Source organism: Homo sapiens, chromosome 15 (genome assembly GCF_000001405.40).
Source record: "Homo sapiens chromosome 15, GRCh38.p14 Primary Assembly".
Lineage (NCBI taxonomy): Eukaryota > Metazoa > Chordata > Mammalia > Primates > Hominidae > Homo > Homo sapiens.
This window is the reverse complement of record NC_000015.10, coordinates 100,459,037-100,478,365: the sequence shown is the minus strand read 5'-3', so window position 1 is coordinate 100,478,365 and position 19,329 is coordinate 100,459,037. Positions and strand designations below refer to the sequence as shown.

The 19,329-nt window shown below is 40.0% G+C and overlaps 1 protein-coding gene across 9 annotated transcripts in view; it reads left to right on the top strand.

Annotated features, from left to right (window-relative positions):
• CERS3 (ceramide synthase 3) overlaps positions 1-19,329 on the top strand; it is a 144,289-nt gene that overhangs the window by 66,318 nt on the left and 58,642 nt on the right. For all 9 annotated transcript variants that reach the window (NM_178842.5, NM_001290343.2, XM_011521357.3 and 6 more), the window contains 3 exons: positions 2,188-2,280; positions 5,314-5,442; positions 8,882-8,988. In NM_178842.5, coding sequence (NP_849164.2) covers positions 2,188-2,280; positions 5,314-5,442; positions 8,882-8,988 — 329 coding nt within the window. The remainder of the gene's footprint in view (positions 1-2,187; positions 2,281-5,313; positions 5,443-8,881; positions 8,989-19,329) is intronic.

Below are 19,329 nucleotides of genomic sequence, written 5' to 3'. Positions count from 1 at the left end.
TAACTTGTTAGCTTGCAACTAGGGTAAAATGTCAGACACTTCACTATTCTGGATATTTTCTACTTTCCTGTTGTCCAGTTCACTGGTACTTTTCTTAAGCCATGTCTAATCTACTATTAAACACATCTTTTGAATTCTCAATTTCAGTTATTATATTTTTTGATTCTCAAATTTTTATTTTATTTTTTAATGGATCCCAGTTCTCTACTGAAATTTTCTCTTTTAAGCTGTTTTTGAAGTTATTTTAAAGTCAAAGTCTGATTAGTCTCATCTCTTGACCACCTGTGGATCTGTTTTCTCTCTTGCTCCTGTCTCCTTATGCTTCATAGCTTTTGATTAAATGACAGACACTGTATACAAAAAAGTATAGATGGTCAGGATGATATTATCTTCCTTCACAGAGGACTTACTTTCACTTCTGTTAGGTGTTAGAATAGGGCAGATCACCTTTAATCCTTGATTGAGCTGATTCAAGGTAGACTTCAGTCTTTGTGAAGGCAAGTATATTCACAACTTACCCATATTCTAGGGTATTCCTTTTCAATGATTTCAAATAAAATATTACAGTGCTTACCATGACTCCTTTTCCTTAGTCAACCTGAACACCAGTTTGCTTCCTAGTACTCTGATATTACAGTCACTACTGCTTAACTTCTGCTGTTTCTTAGTCTCTGGGCTCCATACTGCTTATAAACTGGCATATGCAGAATTTATGATATGTATAGGATGGTCTTCTTTGAATTTATTCTTAGGGCCTACAGTACTTCTCAAGAAACAGGGTTCACTTGAAATAAAAGGTTCGCTCTAGTGCATTTTTCTTCTCTTTAGGATCTTGACTCCACAGGTTCTGGATGCCCTACTTGCTCTCTGACGTCTTCAAACAGACATTCTTTCTTGTCCTTTATCCAGATTTTTAAGTTGTTCTTAATAGGAGGATTAGTCTCATATAGTCCTGTCATAGAAGAAAGCAGAAACTCTGTCTCACTCTTTTATGGCCTTATCAAGGATGAGGAGTTGACCAAAAAAATTCGTTATACGTTAGCCTCAGCATTAAAGAATTCAATAAAATTAGACAATAAGGGACCTAAGAATTAGCTAGACCAAACCCCAGGCCTATCATCTTCTGTCTCCAACTTACTCATATCTTCTCAGGTGTATCAGTTATCCGTTGGTACATAACAAACCATCCCCAAAACTTAGTGCCTTCAAACAACAACCATTTATTTTCTCTTGATTTGATTGTCAATTTAGGCTAGGCTCAGCTAGGCAGTGTTTCTGCTCCATGTGGTGTCAACTGAGTTCATTCATGCATTTTCAGACAATTGGGAGGCCGGCTAGGGAATGGCTCAAGTCTATGGTGACGTCATTCATAGCATTGGCGATCAGCACCTTGATTCTCTTCTTTGTGGCCTCTTCAGCAGGATGGCTCAGGTTTCTTACATGGTACTTATAAAGTCTCTGCATGCATCACATTTGCTTATGTCTCCTTGACCAAAGACCAGGATCAAGTCCATAGTCAGTGTTGGAGGAGACTGCACAAGGGCTTAGATATCAGAAGGCAACATTCATTGGGTACACTAAGTAATATAATGTCTCAACTTAGCTAAAATAAACACCACCACTCCCACTATAAAATTGTTAAGAAAATTCTAGCTATGAAAATTTTATTATTTTATTCAGAAGATATTTTTGGAGTTCTTAAATAATTATGCATATTTTATTACTGTCCCATTTTAGAATGGGCTAATTCTGACCACCAGCCTGTCACCAGAAAAGAGATTAAGACATCAGATTTTGAGTAATATTCAAGAAACATTAATCAAAGTAAATTGTAGGACCAGCAGAAAAGACTTCCCATTGTTCCTAAGTAAAGATTTTTAATTTTTTTAAAAATTTAAACTTGACTCTGAATAAACTGAAGGCATTTACACCTGTGGCAGTTGTATTTAATTTTTTAAACAAAACATTCAACTTGGGTTTGGAATACTTGTCTCTACCCTTTTAGAAATAAAATGCCTTAAAATATTATCTTTAATTCCTTCGTTGAAATATAAATTGAAATATCAGTCAATGTTATTTTATGGAATCTGGTGGGATATAAATAGGTATAAAAGGAGGTTTTAGTGCATTAAAATGAGTTGCTTCTATGATGGCATTTAAAGTAATGAATACTCTTCTTTTCCTCAGCCCCTGCTGCCATCCCAGTACTGGTACTACATTTTAGAAATGAGTTTTTATTGGTCTCTGTTATTTAGACTTGGCTTTGATGTCAAGAGAAAGGTAAGTGTCTTATTTACAAAGCTTCTTTATCAATTTCTTCAAAAATTGCCATCTCCCTGCCCCAAATTCTAATCTTTAAGTTGTATTTTTCTGTGTTTTTGGGTCCAGTTCATTGCTTTTGTGTGCTTTATAGTACATAAAATATTGCTAATTATACTCATGCTTTGGTGCCTTGGTAAACATTTGTAGTGAAACATTATAAAAACTTTAACTTTGAAGCTCCACCTCTGTTCAATAAGAAAAAAAACATTTCCTTTATATGTCTGTTTCTTGGGAACTTAATGTCCATCAGTGCAAAGAAGAAATATGTTAGTAGTATTAATTCTACAACCACATCTTTTAGTTGATTGCAAAACCACTTCATATACAACTTTTTGATATTTTCAAAGACGTTGAAAACATTTTTCCATTAATTCATCAAATATATTTATGAGGAAACCTTGCTTCGGGCATTATTAGCTTTGCTTTATGTGCAGGGAAACTCAGTCACAGGCATGCTAAATGCCACTTCTGAAGTCACAAAGTGAGGTATTTTAGGAATGGTTTGGTTGTTACTGATTCCTAATTACTAATCCAGCAAACCATGTTAAATCCTGAATGCAATCATAAGATTTTGTCGTATATGTAAGCAATTCAGATCAAATGATAAATTCTCTTGGCATATACCTCATAAACTACACCGTAAATAAAAGGCTGGTTTGTAGCAAAATTTGTATGGTAAATACAATGACATTTAATATTAGATAAACCAGTTTAGCTTGATTAAATGTTTGTGTTGAGTGATGGTGGCCATTATAAGGGACACACTGCAGTCAACTGGACATCTTAAGACATGAGAAATCTAAGTATAAGCACATACTGTGAAAGTATCTGATAGAAATAATCTCCATTTCCATGTAACTCAATGATAGCTGTAGATTAACTATACTAACTTTAGGCTAGGAATACATCAAAATTTAATTGGTTGAGTCATTTTTTCCAGGGATAGAATTGAAAATAATCATTTTTTAGAAAGTCTTTATATACAGGTAGGTCGATCATGTATTTCACCCACCTTTGATTTTGCCGTAGTTGACTTCCCTTTTATCATTTACGGGTGCATTGAACACCTTCTTAAAAATTAAATATAAATATATGTTAAATGTCTTATAAAGATGTATCTTCAGAAACATAAAGCTATTGGGAGGTGGCTAAAGCACAGGCCCTGGAGTCAGGTCTCCTGGGTTTGAATTCCTGGCTTCACCACGCACTAACATCTTGAGCTAGTTAGTTAAACTCTCTAAACTTGATCTCCTTATCTATAAAATGAAGCTAAAAATAGTTCCTATCTCCTCTGTTTGTTGTGGGAATTAAACAGGTTAATCTGTATAAAATACTTCCTGAGGCTGGGCGCAGAGGCTCACGCCTGTGATCCCAGCACTTTGGGAGGCTGAGGCAGGTGGATCATGAGGTCAAGAGATCGAGGCCATCCTGGCCAACATGGTGAAATCCTGTCTCTTCTAAAAATACAAAAATTAGCCAGGTGTGGTGGCACATGCCTGTAGTCCCAGCTACTTGGGAGGCTGAGGCAGGAGAATCGCTTGAACCTGAGAGGTGGAGGTTGCAGTGAGCCAAGATCGCACCACTGCACTGCAGCCTGGTGACAGAGCAAGACTCCGTCTCAAAAAAAAAAGAAAAAAAAGAAACTTCCTGATATACAGCAAGTGCTCAATAAATTGAGCTATTATTGGTATTGTATTTACTTTGGCTATGAGGAAGCTGAAATCTTTAAGTTTTTTAAACATCTTTATTGAGATATCCACATATAACACAATTAAACCATTTAAAGTATACATTCAGTAGTTTTTAACATATATTCAGAGTTGTGCAATCATCATCACAGTCAATTTTAGAACATTTGTGTCATCCCAAGAAGAAACTCTATACCATTTAGCAGTCACTCCTCGTTTCTCTCAACCTCCCCAGCCCCTGGCAACCATAAATCTCCTTTGTCTCTATAGATGTGCCTCTTCTGGATATTTTATATAAGTGGAATTATATAATACCTGGTCTTTTATGTTTGTCTTGTTTCACTTACTGTAATGTTTTCCAGGTTCATCCATGTTATGGCATGTATCAGTACATCATTACTTTTTATTGCTAAGTAATAGTCCATTGTACGGATGGATGCATTTTATTCATCCTCTTATCAGTTGATGGACATTTGGGTTGTTTCCTCCATTTGGCTGTTATGAGTAATGCTGTGGATTCATACACAAGTTTTTGCATGAACATATGTTTTCATTCCACCTAAGAGTGGAATTGCTGGGCCATATGGTAATTCTATGTCTAATCTTTTGAGAAACTGTCAGACTGTTTAACAAAGCAGCTACACCATTTTGCATCCCTACCAGCACTGTATTAGAGTTCCAGTTTCTCCACATCCTTGCCAACACTTGTTATTGTTCATCTTTTTTATTATAGCCATCCTAGTGGGTGTGAAGTATATCTCATTGTGGTTTTGGTTTGTATTCTCCCAATGGCTAATGATTGAGCATGCTTTCATGTGTGAATTGGCCATTTGTATATTTTCTTTGCAGAAAACCTTTAAGTCTTTATTATACTCAGTGACAGTAGCTTTCCTTAGGCTAGATTGTCTTATTTCATATGCACTAACTTATTTAATGGTTGTGTAGATTTATTATATCAATCTTTTTTTTCTTTTTGGGGAATAGGCAGGGGCTAAACAATAACTGTAGGTGTACACAGGAATATGCTTGTGTGTGTATGCATTTATTGTGTGTTGGGGGGCAGTGTGTGTGTACACATATATCCAGTGTGGGATGGTATCTCAACGTTAAATGATTTCATCAACAAGAATAATACATGTCTTAGCTCCCTCACAAAGATTGTGTTTAGGAAGTAAAAGCATTTTATAAATTTCAAAACATGCAGATGTAAGTTATTGGTCTCATTATTATTATGATTATCTCTTCCAGTGATTGGGAAATAAATGCATTTCCTTAATGGCTTCCATTTTCCCTCATCTTACAGGATTTTCTAGCTCATATCATCCACCACCTGGCTGCTATTAGTCTGATGAGCTTCTCTTGGTGTGCTAATTATATTCGCAGTGGGACCCTCGTGATGATTGTACACGATGTGGCTGACATTTGGCTGGAGGTAAACGTTTGCCATTAAAAAACTAATGACAATACCATGTCCTGGGTTTCCGTAACTGCTCACAGAAGTAATTGTGAGCAATTTAGCAGAGCTCTGTGTCCTGAAAACACCCAAATTCTGAGAATATCTCTAGATTCCCAGATCCTCCAAGATTACAGAAATGAAACCTCTTAGTTTTAACTTTGAATCCTTCTCCATGGTACTAGAGAGATGTTAATTTGTGGGATTCCACTCCTGAAGGTTGCATGCACATGCCCACTCAGGAAGTAAGATGGGATATTTGAAGAAGGAATGGACTCTAATCTTCTAAAAGGAAAACTTGGATTTATGACATTGAGGATTCCCAAATTTGGATGGCACCATCTATTCACTTAGGCCAATGCTTGAATACCCGTTGAATGTTCACACTCCCCCACCCTCCCCTCCCCGAGCCCAATCCCTTGCTTTAAGGAGTGTAAGATGATTTTTTTTAAGGCCCTCATTTTCTAAGGGAGGAAGAGGGCTTAGAATGTTTTCTGAAGGAGTCAACATTAAAACAAGAGTCTTCCTAATCTCACCCCACACAAAATAGAAGAAACAAAGCCACGTTGGGATTGTTTTCCGGACCTGTTTCTGTTCTATTTTGATTCTTGTTGACCCCAGGCAGTGATGGAATTGTCCCCTTCTCTGCCAGATCTCTTGCTGTATTTAGAGCAACAGTTCCCAGAACTGCTGAGTTATTTGTTTAAATATACTCATTTATAATGAATCCAGGGGAAATGACGCTAACCCATTTCACATTTGGGATTACTTTTGAAGGGCTAACAATTGAATACAGGTTGCTATGGAAGAAATTAAATTTAATAGAATCTTATTCTTCTAGGTTGGGGTTTAGCAAACTTCTTGGCAAAGGGCCAGATAGTAAATTTAGTTTTGTGGGCTGCGTATGATCTCTGTCACATATTCTTCTGTGTTTTTTGTTTTTTGCTTTTTCAAATACCCTCTTAAAACTGTGAGAATCATTCTTAAGGGCTGATCGGCTTTAGCCCATGGGGGGACTGTAATTTACCAGACCCTGTTGTAGAAGCCACCAGAAGTCACTTGCAGCCATTTCAAAGCAACTGGCCACTATTAAAATATCCTCTGCGTACAGAATTTTGTTTCTACCCTGTATGTAATCATCATTAGACATGTAAATCCCATTCTAAAGGTCAAGATTATTATATGTGCTTCAGGGCAACAAATGACTTAGCAGGAGAAGGATTGTGCCGTTTTTTTCTGTATGGTGCTGTCTGGATGCAGCCCTCGCTGGTGTAATTACCTCCTTCTCTGATCGTATCTCAGTAATCCTGACAGAAGATTAAGACCACACTGGCCCCGACTTAAGAATTTTATACGACTCTGTTGCTTCTAAACCCTCATATTCAATTGCCTTTGGTGTGTGTCCAATGTAAAAACAGCCTCATTGTGTTATTAAAGGGGAGTTAGATGTTCACCCTGGGAATAAACACGGGGTTGCCCTGCCACCCTCCCCACCCTTTCACTGATGTGACATGATTCCCTAAGTAACTTGGACAAATCACTTATTGTTTTGTTTTCTAGCCCCAGCTGTAACATGAGAATTCATATCTGTCCATTGGGGTATGTGATGAAGTTTAGCTCATTATTACCTGAAAACGTTCTGAGGTCCTTAGGTTAAAAAAAAAAGAAGAAGAAGAAAAATGAACTGTCCAATCTTAGAGGTTCCCTCATGGGCAAACTTTAAGAACAGCTTCATATTGCTAATGATTGAGAATCATTCTTGATCCACAAGTCATGATCTGATGTGAGGTTCGATGAGCAAGGCTGGTACCTCCCATCAGCTGGTGGTAGACAAAATATTAAGTGGTGGCAGGGGCCTATTTGTGATGTTCTCCCAGGGTGCACAGCCCATGGCTTACTTGAATAGTGTGTTTTAGGGTTTGTTTTCACAATCAAGTTCTAATTGAACCCAGACATGGCACAACTTTTGCACCTGGCTTCTTTGAGATGGTGCCTATTCATCTTTCATATTTCTCAAGACACTGGGTCATTTCTTAGCTCTTTCTTTTGGAGAAAAAACAGCCTTCACATCTACCACTCTCACTCGTAAGTGACCTTCTTTGACTTCTTCATTCATCTTCCTGATCCTCTAAGTTTCCACATGGTCAAGTTTGGATCCAGGACCCAATATCCTGACTGATACTTAGCAAGCAAAGGGGCTGCTGTCTACCATTTCATCATTACACAATCCAGAATATGTTCTGTGTATGTTTTGCCCAAAAGTGTGTTACTTCACCCTCACAAATGGACTCACAGGGATCCTCTCCCATGCCTGTGCACATCCCTTGCTTCCCACCCAGCTAGCCCCTGATCCTTCCACCAGCCTCCCACTCCACTACAGTCACTCTGAATTTGGGCGTTTCTCTCCACACCCGTCTCCCACCCACCAGGCACACCAACCTCTCTATGTCAGCAACTGAAGCTGTTCTCTGGGGGCCCTCTGCCAACCCCACAGTCAGGCCATATTCTCACCCCTTGGTAGTATGGCAAAATATGAAAGATGCCACGTGAACCCTTTCTGGAATGTAAATGTGTTGCCTCTCTTGCTCTGGAAGGGCCTTGAGCCTCTGGGATGAAGTTGGTTCTGAAACTGACCAAGTCTAAGCCACGTTCCCTAGAAGAGTGATCTGTGCCCCAGCAACTCCTCCCACCTCCTGCTCCCAGACTCCCACTCCCTATTCCCACCAGAAACTTCCCTCTTCAGCCCTGGACACTGCTGGATAATGCACTAGAGAGCGCTTATCAATTAACTGTCTTCTACCACACTCAGCAACCCTTTCTGCAGTTCTTTCTATTCAACACAGATAATATGAGCAGTATAGACTAGCATAAAAGAATTAGGAAAGATCAAATGCTTGAAACTTTATTTCAACCAGTTCAGGACCCCGAGAGCTGCCTCCCAACTTTGCCTCTTCCCTCATCTGCCTTGAAATAGCCTCCTTGACTGCAGCATTCCCAGCCCAGCTCAGGATTTCCCACTTGTCCCAGCCTTTCTTCAGTCCAGTTCTCCTCCCAGTTAAATGGAGATATGAAATAAATGCCCACATGAAGTGCATGCCAAAATTGATTATGCTAACTTAAAGTGTTTTCAAAAGACACGAGTGGTATTACAGGCATTTAAATATATTTCTAAAAAACATTATATTATGCAAAATGTCAAACATATGGCAAGATAAAGGGAATCATATAATGGACCCATCAGCTTTAGCAGTTATCAATATGGCCAGTCTTGTTTTATCTATTGCCCCACCTGTACCCCCTACTTTCCACCCAGATTGTTTTGAAGCAAATCCCAGACCTCATATCATTTCATTTATAAATTTAACTTTAAAAATGTAGGCTATTGTCACTTTATCTGCAGTTTCTTTCTTTTTTGCAGTCTGCTAAGATGTTTTCTTATGCTGGATGGACGCAGACCTGTAACACCCTGTTTTTCATCTTCTCCACCATATTTTTCATCAGCCGCCTCATTGTTTTTCCTTTCTGGTGAGTAGACCGGTGATGTGCCCTGCCTTTGGTCAGTGTGCAGAGGTGGCCTCAGTGCATGGTTACCCTCAGGGCATTGCCCTTTCCATACGTGGGTCTCCAGTTATTTGTGTCAAGTGCAGTTGGAGAAAAGAATGTGATGGAGCCATTTTTATAAATAATTAAAACAACACTCTGTGGTGTGGAAAAGGCTTATTACAACGGGAGATGGAAAATGTGTGACCTGACGGGCAAGCAGCAGCTCTTACTCTGTCTTGTTTCATGGATGTAGACCTTTCTTTGTGATTAACAGCTTTTCTAGTCACTCAATGAAAAGTCACTGTCCAATCACCAGTTCTCTAAAAGAGAGGTATGTTCTGTGTTACAATAATTATAGCCATTACTTGAATGCCAGACACTGGATTAGGTCCTTCCCATATCTTGGCTCTAGTCTACACAATAACTCATAAGGATGAGTATTATCACTTCCACTTCCCAGATAAGGAAAACTGATACTTGTTTATTTCATTCTCTATGACCACTGGTTCTAATTATGGTTTGAGTATCCTTTCGATATGATTGGCTCTCGATCAGTCTGTTGATTTTGTTTAGCCACAGACCAGCAATGAAAAGCATATATTACATCTCCCATGACAATCATTTCCTTGGGAAGCATAATGTTCCATGTGTTGATTGACAGAAACCAGAGTAACATGTGGGGAAGACTTAGATGGTTTGGAAGGAACAGCTTTTAACCAACCATAATTTGGGGCTAGTCTGGGAACTTGGGATCCTCCAAACAGAAGACTTAGTGCTGTTGAAGAGCCTAGATGCAGGGGAAATGGATGGAGACTCAAGTTCCAGGCCTCATTCTTAAGTGTATAGACAGCACCCTTGGCTGGCATCCAGGGAAATCCAGCCAGAGAGGTCAATGCCCTTTCCTGGAAGCCAGCTGCATTCTTTAGACCATGTGTATTCGGCATTTTCTGGAGAGGAACAACAGAGTGTAGTGGTTAAGTTGCTACATGTGAGAGTCCATCCTGGATTTAAATCCTGACTCCACACTTACGACCTTTGTGATCTTGAACAGGTTATACCACCTCTCTGTGCCTCAGTTTTCTCATATGTAAAATGGAAATAAGGGTTGGCATGAGGCTTAACTAGTTTATATAGTTTGGAACAATGTCTGGTACTCAGTAAAGAATCAGTAAATACTACCTACTATAATTAAACATATTAATGAGTATCTCAGAATTTGAAGTTCAACTAGAATCAAATCTAAGATAAATGTCTCAGATATTTTCCTTGGTTGATAAATCATTACCATCACTTTTACTTTGACTGAGCAAGTGTGTTTGTGAAATTTTAGTAATGGCTGGGCATGGTGGTGCATGCCTATAGTCCCAGCTACTCAGGAGCCTGAGGTTGGCGGGGGGGTCACTTAAGCCCAGGAGTTCTAGATCAGCCTGGGCAACATAGTGAGACCCTGTCTTTAAATATATCTATATCTATATCTATATCTATCTATCTATCTATCTATCTATCTATATATATATATATACACGTATATATATACACATATATATAGACGTATATATATATACATATATATGTGTGTATATATATATAGAGAGAGAGAGAGAGAGAGAGAGAATGATAGCAATTATTGATAGAATAATATTGACTTGCTGATGACAGTTGGGCATAGCTTTTCAGTGTGACTTTCATGACACTATCAATCCAGCATTTGCCCCTCAGTTCGCCATGTCCCAAAGGCACTACACGTTCCAATTGCCTGTTGCTGTATAACACAGCATCTAAAAGTCTAGTGGCTTAAGACAGCAGTGGGCAAACTTTTTCTTTAAAAGGCCAGAGAATATATATTTTAGGCTTTGAGGGCCACCTATGATCTTTTTTGCAAGTTTTTATTCATTTTATTTTGTTTTATAATCCTTTAAAAATGTACCAAGCCATACTTACTTAGCTCATGGGCTGTACGAAAACATACACCCAGGTTGCAGGCCGGATTTTACCCACAGGCCATAGTTTGCAGACCTCTGTCTTAAGACAACAACATTTATTAATTATTATTATTATTATTTCTCATGGTTCTAGGAGTCGATTGGCCTTGGCTAGATGATTTTCACTTAGGGTCTCTTGTGTGGTTACAGTTATATGGCGGCTGGGCAGTCACATAGTGTCTAGAGTCCTCAACACATGGCTGAAGTCATATATAGAAAATCAGGCTAGGTGCAGTGGCTCACGCCTATATCCCGGTACTTTGGGAGGCCGAGGCAGGTGGATCACCTGAAGTCAGGAGTTCGAGACCAACCTGCCCAACATGGTGAAACCCCATCTCTACTAAAAATACAAAAAAATTAGCCGGGTGTGGTGGCACATGCCTATAATCCCAGCCACTCGGGAGCCTGAGGCAGGAAAAGTGCTTGAACCTGGGAGACGGAGGTTGCAGTGAGCCGAGATTGTGCCACTGCACTCCAGCCTGGGCAACAGAGAAAGACTCCATCAAGAAAGAAAGAAAGAAAGAGAGAAAGAGAGAGGGAGAGAGGGAGAGAGGGAGAGAGGGAGGGAGGGAGGGAGGGAGGGAGGAAGGAAGGAAGGAAGGAAGGAAGGAAGGAAGGAAGGAAGGAAGGAAGGAAGGAAAGAAGGAAAGAAGATAAGAAAATCAGCTGGCTGATGCTGCTTGTGCTTATTGGCTGGGACTTCAGCTGGGGGCTGTCCGCTGGAATACCCACAGCCCCTCTAGTTGGCCTTGGCCTCCTCATCGCATGGCACCTGCATTTCAAGGGTGAGCATTTCAAGAGAGTGCTAGAGAGATGCTGCATCTTTTTTCATAAACAGCCTCAGTAGTCACATCACGTCATTTCCAACCTTGTATTTTTTATTGGAACCAGGTCACTAAATCTGACTCATATTCAAGGGAAGGAAAACTAGACTCCATTTCTTGATGGGAGCAGTTTCGAAGAATTTGCGGATGTTTTTAAAAAGCACACACCATGGAAGCTCTAGGTCCAGGGAACTCTCTGAGAAGTTTCTGCAATATTGCTGCCATGGTTGGCTTTTGATTTAGCAATGGAGAACATTCACCTCAGACTATCCCATGATGTCTCAAAATAAACAAGCAAGCTTACTTACCCATAAACAATTGAGCAACACAGTGGTGCTCAGTGATTGTCGGGGTAGTGCGCTATTTTCCCACACTGTTGTCTTTAAAAACCCTACATTTAAGAACTCATTCTCATGCCAGCATTTCTGGTTTTCAAGGAGAATTGAGTTACATGTGTTTGGCATTTTCTTGATCTTTATACTGAATTCACTTGCCCATTGGAGAGGGCAGCCAGTACTCCTATTTGCTGTCTTCAAGGAGTTGGGTTGCAAATAAACCAATATGAACAGACTTGACTGTAAAATAAAACGAAACAGGCCAGGCACGGTAGCTCACGCCTGTAATCCCAGCACTTTGGGAGGCCAAGGCAGGAGGATCACCTGAGGTCAGGAGTTCGAGACCAGCCTGGTCAACATGGTGAAACCCCATCTCTACTAAAAATACAAAAATTAGCCGGGTGTGATGGCGAGTGCCAGTAATCCCAGCTACTCGGGAGGCTGAGACAGGAGAATCACCTGAAACTGGGAAGTGGAGGTTGCAGTGAGCCAAGATTTTGCTATTGCACTCCAGCCTGGGTGACAAGAGTGAAACTCCATCTCAAAAAAAAAAAAAAAAGTTCAAAACAACAGCAAAAACTTTTCCTGGTAAAAATATTTCTGTATTGACGTTGACTGATTCTCATTGTTTGGAAAGTTGAGAAAAACCTCACCAAGCCATTGGAAGTTTGGCAGATCAATTTTCAATGGTCTCTGAAGGAAGTATGTCAATCAGAGAGGGAGCTTCTTTCAGGTACAGTGTACTGCTCTAGTTTAAATGGTCTTCCCACCAGCATGAACTTGCCACCAGCACAATCATCTTCATGGAGTCAAAGGGGAAGATTTAGTTCCTTGTTGTTAGCTTGGCCCCAACCCTCTGTCTAAAACTTATAACTCTGTAGATTCATTTTTCGAGGATGCTTTATTCTATCCAAATGTACTGGGATTTTACTATGGAGCAAGCAATGTGCAGATCATAGGTATCATTGGAGGGTGGCTTAACTAACCTATTTCACCATTCAGACATTTTAGAGGCACTGTGGGCGGCAGTTTGCAATCTAGTTGCTCTGTTCTTCTTTCCAGCTGCTTTTGTTGCACATCCTGTGGTGATATACACGGTAGGGCGGGGCGAAAGCTAACTGGGGTTGTGCCCATCTGAGATTTGTCTGGAAGCCTTGAGAAGGAGAGCTGGAGTGTGTGCATTTCCCTTGCCCTTTCTTTGACCTTTCTCTGATTTTCCCCAGCCTCAAGCACATTTGCATACTCTCCTAACGAGTCTCCCTTTCATGTCCAGCCACTGCACTCTTTTACTTCTGAGGATCTTATCCCATTCTCAGTCAGCATCTGCAAGAGTTAGTTACGTTGGTTTTCTAAGCATTGTTTCATTAACATTAGGCAGAAATTCAAAAGCACACTGGTCAAATTGTTTTAATTTAATTGCCTGGTAACTCCATCTGTTTGCATTCCTGTTCAAAACCATTTAAATCGCAGGTGGATGTTTTTCACACTGTATTCCCAACTATTGTTCTTAAAAATGATTTCTCTAGTTTGGAATTATTGGATGTATCTATCTTCTTGAGCATTATCCAAATACTCACAGAGAGTTATTAGGCTAGAAAGACCTTTCTAAGGCCAGGCAAACCACTTCCTCTGACTACTAACAGTTTTCCTCCACAAATAACAAGAGCAGATCGTGGTTCCACGCAGGTAGGTCCACCTGAAGGGAAGGTGTGTGTGCCCTGTTTTGCTGGTTTTGCAACCTGTGAGTTCAGTGTCTGTCACAGCTGAGTGTGCAGGGGGCAGGGTGGCTTGTTGCTTCATTTCTTGAATTCATCACAGCTGGGTGTTACGAACAGTACAAGGGGAGTGAGACCCAGCTCATGCCTTTCAGGAGTGCATTATATAAGGCAGTAGAGAGATCTTTGTGTCTAACCCTGTTTCATGTGGTTGAAGACTATTCACATTGACCTGTGTTTCTCAGATGTCTCAAAAAGAAAAATACAAAACATTTTCAACTGCAAATAATACTGAAATACCTAGCTCCCTTACTTCCAAGGATACATATGCTTGTAAGGTTTCTCCCTCACCACTGGTTCACTGGACTTCAGATTTCAGCGTTTGATGATCCAGCTATTACAAGTGTAGAAAAATGGTACCCTGGGAAGTCCACATGTGAAAGGGAATATTATCGACAATGAGACCATGTAAATACTTGGAATGGCTAATAGAGAAAGGAGAGTTTTAAAAAACAGAGAAAGATAAAGCTGAAAGCACCCAACAGTGCTCTTAGCTGATGTTCATCAGTGGGGACCCGGGATGAGGGAATGATGGACCCTTCTTTTCCTCTGAAGGCCTGAAGCCTTGGTCCTAAATGAGAAGCAGAGGGCAGAGCATCGGTTCTGATGGCACCATGGTCAGCTTAGTGCCGTTTGCGCAACCAGCAAAGAAAAGGAAGGTACAAGGCAAGAAAGACTCTGTTGAAGCTGGGCCACTCCCTTGAGCCACCACTGCAGATATGTATCTCAGAACTAGACTTTCCAGTTCCACACCTGATGAAGGAGACTACCTGTTCTACCACATGTGTTCACTGTCTCACTCCACAGGGGCCCTTAGAAGAGCTCTCCTATCTTGCCCATGTGCTTGGTACCTTCTTTATGCTATTTTTGAGTTCACGAAGAACAGCTACAACAATCACCCCTCTTCAAACCATAGAATCCTAGAATAAGGAACTTTATTTATAATGTAGTCCAATCCTTTTATTCATGTATTCATTTATTTAGAATTTTTTTTTTTTTTTTTTTTTTCTGAGACAGAGTCTCACTCTGTTGCCAGGCTGGAGTACAGTGGCCTGATCTTAGCTCACTGCAACCTCTGCTTCCCGGGTTCAAGCGATTCTCCTGCCTCAGCCTCCTGAGTTGCTGGGACTACAAGTGCATGCCACCACACCCAGCTAATTTTTGTATTTTTAGTAGAAACGGGGTTTCACCATGTTGGCCAGGATGGTCTCGATCTCTTGACCTTGTGGTCTGCCTGCCTCAGCCTCCCAATTTTAGAAATAATTTTAAGCTTACAAAGAAATTTCTAGTATACTACAGAGAACCCCTAGATATACTGTTTACCAGTTAGCATTTTGCCCCATTTACTTTGTCATTCCTTCTCTCTCTACTTCCCCACCACACACATGTATGAATATACATATTTGTTTCTGAATCATTTGCAAGTTGTAAACATCAACTAAATAATTCCTTGTGCCCTAAGTAATTCAGTGTGTATTGCCTAAGAAGAAGGACATTTTCTTACATAATCACAATACAGTTATCAATCGCAGGAAATGTAGCAATCTACCTTCCATGTTCCAATTTGGTCAATCAATCCAATGATGTCTTTTATTGCTTTTCCCCCTGACTGTGTGGGGATCCAGCTCCAGATCACGTATTGCATTTAGCTGTCATTCATCTGGAACAGTTGCTTACCTCTTCTTTGTCTTTCATGTCGCTGACATTGTTGAAACATTTAGACACCACATTTATTTCTCAGATGAAGAGTTAAGGTACTTCCAGGATCACATAGCTGGTTATGGAAGAATCAAGACTAGAAACAGGATATTTGAAACACAGAACAGATAGGCTTCAAATTAAATTTGAAAGTAGGGTTAAGAGTGTATCATTTGCCTTCACTAAATATTTATTAAGTTTTCTTCAACTACCCAGTCATTTAGAAACTTAAGAGATCACTGAGGTAGATAATTGTTCACCTGTAGAACAAGTATTTGCTATCCTAAAAGGGCTTAATGCTCATACCCACAATTAGCAAGAAAATAAGACCCTTACCTTGCAATTTTCATTAGACAAATACAACTTTTTGGTGGTTGCCTTAGCTAGTCCAGCAAAACCAGCTAATATTTATACCAACACTGCAATTTATTCAAACCATGCCAACTCCAGTGATTGGAAGAGCTAAAATTGGAAACAAAACTGAAAACAGAAAAAGCTGAGTTTTGCAATCCAAGGGCATGGTAGTAGCTTATCCATTTGGAAAGGTTAAATCCAGTGGACAGGGACAAAGTGGTTCTAAGAATTTAGGAATATAGCAGTCTTTCGGCATTCTTTATGAAAAGGAAAATTCCATTCAGTTGCTGTAAGGTGGTGACTAGCGATAATGTGCAAGTGTTGTGTGTTCTATGCATGTGCCTGCACACATGTATGCACGTGTGTTAGGAAGAGAGCTGGGAAGGGCAGATGGAATTTTTTTTCTTTTTCCCAGTCTTCTTTTAGCGTAGAAGGAGAGGAAACTTGAGAGACTAGACCATCCTTTATTGAAGTCTTGAAATTTTAACTGTGGCATCATAGCTGGTTGTTACCCGTGCCACAATGGCTACTCCCCTCTGACTCCTGTTCCACTTCTTTGGCCTCCAGTCCCCTCTGTCCTCTTGCAGAGAATGTTCAGGCAGCAGAGTCCCCATTCCTCGGATCCTGCTTACCCTCTCCAAAGTGGACTCCTCCTCTTCCCCTTGGCAGGAAATCCAGCCATTTCAGGAGCACCCTCTTGGGGGGTGTTGCTCTAACTGTGTTACTGGTGTAAGTTCTCTGCAGTAGGAGAGGGCTAGTTGTGGGAAAGTAGTAGTGGCCATAGTGGTAGTAAGAGTAATAGTTGTAACTATCATTTTTGAATACTTACTATGTAATAGGCACTTTCCATTTGTCAACTCATTGAATCCTCATAACCACCTGGGTGGTGTTCTCATTTTACAAAAGAAACTGAAGCCCAGAGAGATTATGGAACTTGCTAAGATCCTGGGAGCCCTGATTGAAATCTTGAAGACTCCAGCGCCAATTCCACTGGCCTCTCCTCTCTGCCCAGAGGCTCAGCTCTCTTAGAAGACATTTGCATCTTAATGGCAGCTTCTTTCATTCTGAGGGCTATACAGTTTGTAAAGCTGGCTGTGTGTCTCCTGGGAGCCTCTAGTCAAAGGAGGTGGTGGAGGGGCAGCTAGTTTTACCCAGTGACTAAGGAACTAAGGCTCAGTGACTTATGCAGGTTTCGAGCCAAGAAATTAGTGGTGTTGAGCCTTGAACCCAGCTCTGATATTCTGTTCCACATGTGTCACTCCTCTTTCTAAAACCAGCCAAGCTTCCTGTTGCTCTCACAATGAAGGCCACACCTCCACCCTGACTTGCAAGGCCTACCTGAGATGGCTTCTTCACCTCTCCCACCTCATCTTACACCACCCTTCACTGCCACTCCTCTCCTTTAAGCCACACTGGTCTTCTTTTAGCTCCTCGAATTTTCCATGATGCTTCCCACTTGACAGCCTTTGTACATGTAGAACCCTGCCATATGCCCTGTCATTTTCTTTCTTTCTTTACATGGATCACAATGGGCAATTTTATGTTTAGTTAATTATTCACATTCTCCGGTAGACTGTGTAAAGAAGGTATTTTTGAGTAGGTCCTTTTGTCAATAATAACACTGACAAATTCCCAATAGGGGACCTAGTAAGGGGCAAGGCCCTGAGCCAGACAAGGGAAGGACCCAGAGGTGAAGGTGTCCTGGCCACGGCCTTTGGAAAGCTTGCCTGCTAGTGAGGAGGGGAGAGCCAGGAGGAAGGGAATAAATTCAGGGGTGACCAGAATTACATGGAAACTTTTGTTGTGGAGAGACCCATGCTTTAATGGATGGAAAGGGGTTCAGTTGAAAAGAGAAAGTACATTCTAGGCAGAAAGAGTACAGAATAAGGCCCAAGGATCCAGCAAACCAGAATGGCAAGTAGGTTTTTACATGTATCATTTCCTCTAATAAGCCTATAAATAAATGTGGGTACCAGAAGGTAAACCCTACTAGTTTAGGGGTTTTGGTCCCTCTCATTCATTGCTATATTCCTGGCTACTACCAAGTGTCAGGTAGCACTTTAGTAGGTGCTCAGTAATGGTTTATTGAATAAATAAGGTAGGTACTCTCTGCTCGCATTTTACAGATGAGGAAATGCACAAATAAGTGACATGGTATCTAAGTAGTAAAGCCAGAACTTTAAGAAAATATGGGAAAATATGTTTTATATTGATGGGGCTGAAAAAGGACCTTTAAAGCATAACATGTATGCAAAGTATAAAATAAGCAATTGACAGATTTGATTTAAAAATTTTTTTAATTACTTTGCCAAAAAAATCAGTATTGAAAGAAAATACTGGACTGTATAAAGCTAATTAACATAATTTAAAAATAGTGTTGATATCTTTAGTATATAAAGAGCATTTAAGAATCAACAGGAAAAATAAATGCTCCAATAGAAAAATGGACAGATGCCACAAAAGCAGTTCATAAAGAATAAATAAAAGTAGCCGAGTAAAATAACCAATAAGAGATATAAATAGATGTATAAATATATATAGTCACTATACATTAAATAAAAATATGAATATAAACAGTACTCTGTTATTTTAGGTGGAGACTGATAAAATACAATATTGGTCAATATCTGAGGAAGCAGATACTCTTATATATTGGGTGCAAGAATATAAATTGGTATAGTCTTTCTGGAAAGCAGTGTAACATTATATTCCAAATTGTAAAATGAGTCTACTCTTTGATTCAGGATTTTAGCTATTCTAAGTGGATAATCAAACAATTACATCAAAATGTTTTTATAGAACCACACGTGGTGGTTCATGCCTATAATCCTAGAACTTTGGAAGGCTTAACTCCCTTAAGCCTAGAAGTTCGAGATCAGCCTGTGCAACAAGGCAAAACCCTGTCTCTACAAAAAACAAAATACAAAAATTGGCCAGGTATTGTGCCGTATACCAGGAGTCCCAGCTACTCAGGTGGCTGAGGTTGGAGGATTGCTTGAGCCTGGGAGGTAGAGGCTATAGTAAGCTGTGATCATGCCTCTGCACTCCTGCCTGGGAGACAGAGCGAGACCATGTCTCAAAAAAAAAATGTATTTACAAGTAATTCTCACAGTATTCTTTCTAATATAATGAACATTTGGGAAGAATTTAAATGTCTATTAATAAGGGATTAGTTAAATTATGATATATCTATAAAATGGATTTCTGTGAAGCCATTATATATGGTGATACATAGTAGGGGTTGGCAGGCTATGGCTCAAAGGCCAAATTCAGCCTATTGCCTGGTTTTGTTGATAAAGTTCTATTGGAACACAGACACACACACTAATGTATGTACTTTCTATACATGAATTAG